The sequence below is a fragment of the Homo sapiens genome, chromosome 18, assembly GCF_000001405.40.
Source record: "Homo sapiens chromosome 18, GRCh38.p14 Primary Assembly".
Classification (NCBI taxonomy): Eukaryota; Metazoa; Chordata; class Mammalia; order Primates; family Hominidae; genus Homo; species Homo sapiens.
This window is the reverse complement of record NC_000018.10, coordinates 49,528,158-49,537,332: the sequence shown is the minus strand read 5'-3', so window position 1 is coordinate 49,537,332 and position 9,175 is coordinate 49,528,158. Positions and strand designations below refer to the sequence as shown.

Genomic DNA, 9,175 nt, shown 5'->3' with positions numbered 1-9,175 from the left:
GTCATTTTTCCAATTCAGAGATTCCCAGCTGAGGAGAAAGTACTCTTACAAAGGAATGAAGGCAAAACTCTTTTATATGATTGGGTTTGGGAGATGGGGGTGGGTGTCCTTTTATGAGGGGTCACTTCATGTACAAGTGGCCCTAAATTAAGGATTTCACTAGCATATAGGAGTCTCATTATACCCTCTTCTCTTTTGGAATTTGGGAAAAACTGACCAGCATTTAATATCAACAGACCTTAAGTCTGATAAGAAACACTACTCTCTCTGAAGCCTGCTACCTGGAGGCTTCATCTGCATAACAAAACTCTGGTCTCCACAACCCCTTATCATAACCCACATATTCCTTTCTATTAATAACAATTCTTACAACAAATTGCCAATAAGAAAATGTTTAAATCTACCTGTGATCTGGAAGCCCCTACTTCGAGTTGTCCCGCATTTCCGGATTGAATCAATGTATATCTTACATGTATTTGATTGATGTCTCATGTCTCCCTAAAATGTATAAAACTAGGCTGTGCCCCAACCACCTTGGTCACATGTTCTCGGGATCTCCTAAGGGCTGTGTCACTGGCCATTGATCATTCATATTTAGCTCAGAATAAATCTCTTCAAATATTTTAGAGCTTGACTTTTTTGTCAACCATTTTAAGACCAGAATGTTTAACAAGTGAGATTCTCAATCTAGCCCTGTAATCACGAAGCAACTAATCTTTTTTTGGCTTACACATGTAAGCAAAAAATTTATTTTGCCAAGGTTAATGACATACCCAGGAGGCAGGTGTCTGTGCCTTTCTTCAAAGATAATTTTGAGGGCTTTAATATTTAAAGGGGAAAAACAGGCTGGAGAGGAAAGAGGGAGGGTATGGTAATCCACGTGTTGCAAGAGAAAAGGAACAGGTAAGGGAATAGTCAATTATGTATTCATCTGCTCAGTAAATCGTGAGATAAGATGAATATAGAGGAGCTACCTGTTGAGATATTCAACATTTTATCTGTAGCTATCTACTTAGAAACAAAAGGAAAGGCAGTTTCTTACGTACTCAGCTTTCAGCTTGATTTTTTTTCCTTTTGTCACAGTGAATTGGGGTCCCAAGTTTTTATTTTCCTTTTATATTCCTCCTCTGTTTTCTTTTGAAAATCTTTTGGAGAAAACATTTTAGAAGAAAATGAGTCACTGGTCTTGGATTTTGCCTGATCTTTCATGGCTAAGAGAGTTTATTCATAGACAAACAGGTCCTATGTTGTTGGGAATGCTCATTTGGAACAGGTTGTGAACTCTCACATCCTATGAAGAAAAAATAGGGGAAGGAAAAGAGAAAACAGAGGGGAAAAAGGAGGCAATAACCAAAAAAAAAAAAAGGAAGAAAAATCCCGGAAAACTGATACAGGCCATATTACTCTGAAGTCCACACATCGGTAGGCAGATATGAAAATGGTTTATGTATATAAATAGGTTGCTGTCATTTTCTTCCAAAGTTTAATTTGTCTAGCTTCAGTATTTCAAATCAGGAAAAATGGGGAGCAGGAAAAACAAAGAAAGAAAAAAATTGAAAACATTATTTTAAGACTTGTGGACAGGAAACATTTCTGGATTCAGTCCAAATTGTAGAAAATAATAAAAATTGGAAAACACTGCACAAGGCTAGAATCTAATAACATGTGTACTATACATTATTTTGAAACATAATTTTTCTCTCTCCAATTTCCCAATTTTATTAAAGACAAAATCATAGTAGGACCAGTTTATTTGTAAAATAAGTTTTAGCCTTATTATACTTGGCTTGATTATTTGCATAAAGTGCAGCAAGAATAATCATTTGCCATGTAGACTCTATTTTTTTTTTAAATTGACTTTGCTGGAAGCTTTTCCTCAAGGCATCTGAGATTAGACCTTTTTAAAAACCTCAAGCTCAGCCTGGGTGACTTCCTCTTTTCAATATCCCAAGAAAACTTGGGATTCCTGGGCCTGTCAGAAACCAACATTCTTTACTTGTCACAGGTCAGAACCCTATGAAGGACAAGGTATGGGGCCAGTTTTTCTGAAGGGCTTTAATTGGCTCTATAGGTCAACCTCATTTCCTCAAGGCAATCTGAAAATATGCCATTCCAGTCAAAGACTTGGGAAAATAACCAGTGTCTCCAGGTATGGCCTGTAATAAAAGAAAGCAGGTTCCTATGGAACTTATACAAATAAGTATATTGCCATAAATTAAGAACACTCACAAATAGTTTCTGAATTTCAGAGAAATTAGGTAGAGAGAAATAAATTATGTTGAATTTTGCTTGCTAGAATACACTTTACTCAACGTTAAAAACTGTAAATAACTTAAAAGAAGAAAAAGTTTTCTTCACTCTGAAAAACAAAACAAAAAGAATCAGCAAATGTGTTAAACAAAAAGTAATGAAAGATTATTTCAGGCTTCTGTTAGTTTAATCCATGCAATTAACTTCTGTTCTTCCAATATTGGATTGACAATCCTCACGAATACATCAGCTCTCCATGAGAGTCCTGGAAGTTTTTCTCTCTATTCCAATGGCACAATCTCTAAAATTATCAGAGTACTCAGAGTTCTATAGTTGATTATAAGCCACTCTATAAAAGGATCAAAGTAAACAACAATTGTGGATGACAAAGTCTTAGAACAGCCATGGTTAAAGACACAAATGACAAGGAAATTTGGTTACTTATGTGGCATGCAACAATTTTAAATAATAATCATAATACTACCATAATGTATACTAATACATATCAGAATTATAGGAATTTCATATAGGAATTTCATATACCTTCATTTGGAAGGCATACTAATAATACATTTATATAAATATAATCCAAAGAAGGTTAAACACCATTTCATATTTAATAATGTTTTCTGTATGCTTTTGTTATACCAAATAAGCTGAAAATGTCTCTTTTGGACTTCAGAGGACCTAAATTCAAAAAATTAATGAGGTCAAAAGGATCGAACTTAGAATTTGATTTTGGAAAGTTGGTCAAACATAAAAAGTTTTAAAAACATTTGATATCACAAAATAGGATCACAAGTCATTGTAAAATAAGTCATTTATTTAGACCACATTATAACTCAAAGATTTCCCAAAAAAAAAGAGGCAGAAATCTTTATTCTTTGAGAAAGGAGACTTAATTTCCTAAATAATAAGCCTTAATAAAGACAACATGAGGCCAATTATATCTCTCTTAAATCTTATCAACAAATCTATTACATTTTAATCATCTTGACCATCAGATATAATTTTCATAAGCCTTGTTATAACTGTTTGTAATTTTTTTTTTTTTGAGACAGAGTCTTTCTCTGTCACCCAGGCTGCAGTGCAATGGTACAATCTCAGCTCACTGAAACCTCTGCCTCCTGGGTTCGAGCGATTCTCCCGCCTCAGTCTCCTGAGAAGCTGGGATTACAGGCATCTGCCACCAAGCCTGGCTAATTTTTTGTATTTTCAGTAGAGACAGGGTTTCACCATGTTGATCAAGCTGGTCTCGAACTCCTGACCTCAAGTGATCCACCCGCTTTTGCCTCCCAAAATGCTGGGATTAGAGGTATGAGCTACCACACCCAGCCTATTTCCCATTGTTATAATTTATCTATAATTTATAAAGTTGTAAAATAGGCTGGGCGCAGTGGCTCACACCTGTAATCCCAGCACTTTGGGAGGCTGTGGCAGGCGGATCACCTGAGGTCAGAAGTTCGAGACCAGCCTGGCCAAGAAGGCAAAACCCCCTCTCTACTAAAAATACAAAAATTAGTTGGGCATGGTGGCAGGAGCCTGTAATCCCAGCTACTCGGGAGGCTGAGGTGGGAGAATTGCTTGAACCCAGGTGGTGGAGGTTGTAGTGAGCCGAGATCACGCCACTGCACTCCAGCCCAGGCAACAGAGCAAGACTCTGTCTCAAAAAAAAGTGGGTTAATTCTCCAAGAAAACCTTGTTAATCCGACACAGGGACCCAGATGCTGGTATTGTATCAGTGTGCCTTTGATATTAATGTTTAATTTATAGAAAAACTCTGAACAATTTTCTCTCTCAAAATCAGCCCTTACAATCTCATGTGCCTACCTCTTCTGCAATAGTCTCTGGGCCTAGAGAAGTTGAATAGTTTTAATTTTTGGCCCAGTGTCTCATTAACACAGTTTATTTTGATTGGCATCTTCTCTGGATCTGAAGATGAGGCTTTAACTGCTGTCAGTGTTTAAGGTTTAGCAGGATTTGAAGTCCTTTTTAGACCCAAGAGTCAAAGCCCTATAACTTAACAGCACAAGGACTTTAAAAGCAATGTAGAAAGTTATGTAGATGTGATAGCCTTGGTTTTTTCATCTTAGTTTTCCTAAGCAAATCAAAACTTAATGACGATGATGTAGGAATTATTTCAAAAAATGTAAAATCTGTTTGTTAGGCCAGTTACCAAACAGCAAATGAAAAGACCTTCTGCAGTGTGATTGTTTTTCCCTACAGGGAGCACATTTAGATAACCTGCAAGTCAAAACTCGTGAAAATGGTACTTGAATTAGTTAGAATAGGAAGACTGTGTCTGGGGTCATAAGTGAAAATCTTTGATTTCATAGAACAATTTAAGGCCAACAGCACAGAATGTTACATTGGAAGAAAATATTTCCTTCAGACCTTTAAGATAAAACATTTTAGCATAAGGCCACAACAGCAGTTAGAACCTGCAGAGATTACTTATGAAAACTGCGATAGTTATCATTTAAAGTTATTTCCCTGTTAACCATTTTTACAGCCTATGAATTTCAGTTGTTTACGTAAGTAGGAACCTTGAGGTTAAATAAATGGACTTTTTTTGCCAATAACTCAGAATCTCATTGTTTTCATTAAAACAACAACATTAAAGGTAATTCTCTTTTGGGCTACATTTATAGCTTTATAGCCCTCATGCCAAATTTTGACACCTTATAATATCTAGCAGAGATAAATATAAAACCACTTGACCAATAAATCTAAACAATAATGTATGTTGATAATTCAGAAGGCATTTCTAATTTTATTTTACCAATCATTTTTAAACCAGCTTATTTATTAAAGATTTGTGAGTCATGTGAACCTGAAAACGCATTTGAGCTTAAAGTCTCTATTTTTCTGATAAAAGATTTGATTTAAGTGCCTCTTTTTTTCTTTAAGCTAATTAGAGCTCTTATATATTTTGGGTAGTGAAACCGAGAGAAGAGAGACAGACCCTCTCATATCGTTTTACATTGTTTTATACTCAGAAAAGAAAAGAAAAGTGAAACAAAAGTCAGGTAGCCTGGTGCCTAGGAACCAGACCCGAAGCCAAGGAACCAGACCCGAAACCAAGCCTGGGCCCGCCTGACCTAAGCCTGGTAGTTAAAGATCGACCCCTGACCTAACTGGTTATGTTATCTATAGATTCCAGACATTGTATAGAAAAGACATTGTGAAACTTCCTGGTTTGTCCTGTTTCACTCTGACCACTGGTGCATGCAGCCCCGTCACATACCCCCTGCTTGCTCAATCGATCACGAGCCTCTCACGCAGACCCCCTTAGAGTTGTGAGCCCTTAAAAGGGATAGGAATTGCTCACTCAGGGAGGTTGGCTCTTGAGACAGGAGTCTTGCCAATGTTCCCAGCTGAATAAACCCCTTCCTTCTTTAACTCGGTGTCTGAGGAGTTTTGTCTACAGCTCGTCCTGCTACAAAATGTATACATGACACAGATACACAGATGTATCAGACACACAGGTAGAAGTAGATTCATGAGACTCCCTTTTGGCCGGACGCAGTGGCTCACATCTGTAATCCCAGCACTTTGGGAGGCTGAGGCAGCAAATCACTTGAGGCCAGGAGCTTGAGACCAGCCTGGCCAACATGATAAAACCCCGTCTCTACTAAAAATACAAAAATTAGCCAGGCATAATGGCAGGCACCTGTAATCCCAGCTACTTGGGAGGCTGAGGCAGGAGAATCACTTGAACCTAGGAGACAGAGGTTGCAGTGAGCCAAGATCGTGCCACTGCAGCCCAGGCAACAGAGCAAGACTCCATCTAAAAAAAAAAAAAAAAAAAGATTCATAAGACCCCCTTTTTTTGAGATAAGTTCTCATACTGTGTCACCCAGGCTGGAGTGCAGTGGCACAATCATAGTTCTCTGCAGCTTTGACCACCTGGGCCCAAGTAATCCTTCTGCCTCAGCCTCCTGCGTATCTGGGACTACAGGCATGTGTCACTATACCCAGCTAATTTTTGTATTTTTCATAAAGATGGGGTCTCCTTATGTTGCCCAGGCTGGTCTCAAACTCCTAGCCTCAAGCAATCCTGTTGGGAACAAGCGCCCCAAAATCTGGCCTTAAATGGCCCAAAACTGGCCATAAACAAAATCTCTGCAGCACTGTGATATGTTCATGATGGCCATAACGCCCACGCTGGAAGGTTGTGGGTTTACTGGAATGAGGGCAAGGAACACCTGGCCCACCCAGGGCGGAAAACCACTTAAAGGCATTCTTAAGCCACAAACAATAGCATGAGCGATCTGTGCCTTAAGAACATGCTCCTCCTGCAGTTAACTAGCCCAACCTATTCCTTTATTTCGGCCCATCCCTTTGTTTCCCATAAGGGATACTTTCAGTTAATCCCATTTCCCATAAGGGACACTTTTAGTTAATCAAATATCCATAGAAACAATGCTAATGACTGGCTTGCTGTTAGTAAATACGTGGGTAAATCTCTGTTCGAGGCTCTCAGCTCTGAAGGCTGTGAGACCCCTGATTTCCCACTTCACACCTCTATATTTCTGTGTGTGTGTCCTTAATTCCTCTAGCGCCACTGGGTTAGGGTCTCCCAGACCAAGCTGGTCTCAGCACAATCCTCCCATCTCGTCCTCCCAAAGTACTAGGATTGCAGGCATGAGCCACCGCACCCAACCAAAGACCCCTTTTTTTCCTCCTACTTTAAACTTCCAATTCCCTGGGTTTTGTTTCTTTTCTTTTCTTTTTTTGTGAGACATTGTCTCGCTCAGACAGGCTGAAGTGCAGTGGCAGGATCTCAGCTCACTGCAACCTCCACCTCCTGGGTTCAAGTGATTCTCCTGTCTCAGCCTCCTGAATAGCTGGGATTACCGGCATGAGCCACCACGCCCAGCCAAGACTTCCAATTTTTTGATAACCTGTTTCATTACCCTAGGCAATTGTCAGTAAGACAGCCCTAAATGTGCAAACTAAAGCAACAACTCCTAGGTGAAAATCAGATAGCAATATTTATATCTCCAAGTAGGGAGAGAGAGAGTGTTGGTGCGTTACAGGAAGATTAAAAATGCCTGGCAAGTCAAACATAAAATTATAGAAATCTACCACAGGATTGTATAAGGAGACCATTTTTATTTAGATAAGTAGTTTTAAACTCAGTCTCTGTCTTTTAACTGGATCTCTGAGCTCTAAGCAGAGCTCACAGGGAATCCTGGGTCTCCAAAAAAAGAGCTGTCGTGGGACTAGGCCATGTAATGCTTTTACAGTGCACTTTGTTACAGAAACGTTTCTCTAAGTGTCTAAACCACACCCTTACTTATCTTAAACACCCAAGAGTAGCCCCTGTTGTAATAACCATAAACCAACAAGTATCTGAGACAAGTCTCAATCAATTTAGAAGTTTATTTTGCCAAAGTTAAGGACATTCCCGTGACACAGCCTCAGGAGGTCCTGACAACATATGCCCAAGGTAGTTGGGTTACAGCTTAGTTTTATACATTTAAGGGAGACATAAGACAGCAATCAATACATATAAGATGTGCATTGGTGGGACAACTTGAAGAAGCTGGTGGTGGGGGGTAAGATTGGGCTTCCAGGTCATAGGTAGAGGCAAAGATTTCCTGACTGGCAATTAGTTGAAATAGTTTATCTAAAGATCTAGAATCAATAGAAGGGAATGTCTGCATTAAGATAGGTAGTTTTGGAGACCAAGGTTCTTCTTATGCAGATGAAGCCTCTAAGCTTCAGAGAAAATAGACTGTGTTTCTTATCAGACTTAAAAAGTCTGTTCTGGACCGGCACCGTGGCTCACACGTGTAATCCCAGCACTTTGGGAGGCCAAGGTGGGCGGATCACCTGAGGTCAGGAGTTTGAGACCAGCCTGGCCAACATGGCGAAACCCCATCTTTACTAAAAATACAAAAATCAGCCAGGCCTGGTGGTGCATGCCTGTAATCCCAGCTACTCAGGAGGCTGAGGCAGGAGAATCACTTGAACCCAGGAGGTGGGGTTGCAGTGAGCCAAGATAGCACCCAGTGCACTGCAGCCTGGGTAACAGCAAGACTTCATCTCAAAAAAAAAAAAAAGTCTGTTCTATCAGCCTTAAGGTCTCTGCTTTAATGCTAATGCAGGGAGAAGGATATAATATCCGACCCCCACTTCCCATCATGACCTGAACTAGTTTTTCAGGTTAACTTTGGAATACCCTTGGCCAAGGGGAGGGTCCACCAGTTGATTGAGGGGCACTTAGAATTGTATTTTTGGTTTACATAACTATTTTAGTCAAAAGAAAAATCAGACAACACAATAAAAAGCAAGCAGTTTAAGATCCGAGCAGAACTTGTCTGTTCGTCCTCTTGGGATTCCATAAGGAAACACAGAGGAAAATTCCCCAAAAAGGAGTCTGGCACCTTCTCTGTTTTCTTTAAGGAATCCCAGGCTGTCAGAAATTAGTTTAGGTTCCTCATGCAGTAGAGGATGGCAAAGGAAGGAGAGACAGGCAGAAGTAAGTGGAGAGAACTGGAGAGAATAGAATTCAGTTGACTGAGAATTTAAAAAAAAAAAAAAACTTTTTCTCAAAAAACAAGATCCTGGGAGAGAAAAAAAAAGTGTAAAGTCCTTTTAAATATGCACATATACATAATGGATATCAACTTAGAAGTTTATTTTGCCAAGGTTAAGGACAATGCCTGGAAGAAATAAACATGGAATCACAGAAACAGTCTGTGGTCTGTGCCTTTGTCCAAAGATGATTTTGAGGGCTTCAGTATTTAAAGGGGAAAAGTGAGCTGGAGGGGGAAAAGGGAGGGCATGGTAATCCAGGTGTTGCAAGAGAAAAAAAGCAGGTAGGGGGACAGTCGATTATGTATTCGTCTCGCACTCAGTAACTGGACACGTTATATAAGATAAGGTCCCTGTGGAGATATTTCACCTTTTATCT

The 9,175-nt window shown here is 39.5% G+C and overlaps 1 annotated feature.

The window, feature by feature from the left end:
• Positions 5,927–6,098: a silencer, noted in NCBI's record as "fragment chr18:47057605-47057776 (GRCh37/hg19 assembly coordinates)". NCBI's record gives its function as "represses an EF-1alpha promoter that drives an FKBP-Casp9 reporter gene in an ReSE screen in K562 erythroleukemia cells {active_cell/tissue: K562}" and the evidence as "EXISTENCE:reporter gene assay evidence [ECO:0000049][PMID:32094911]".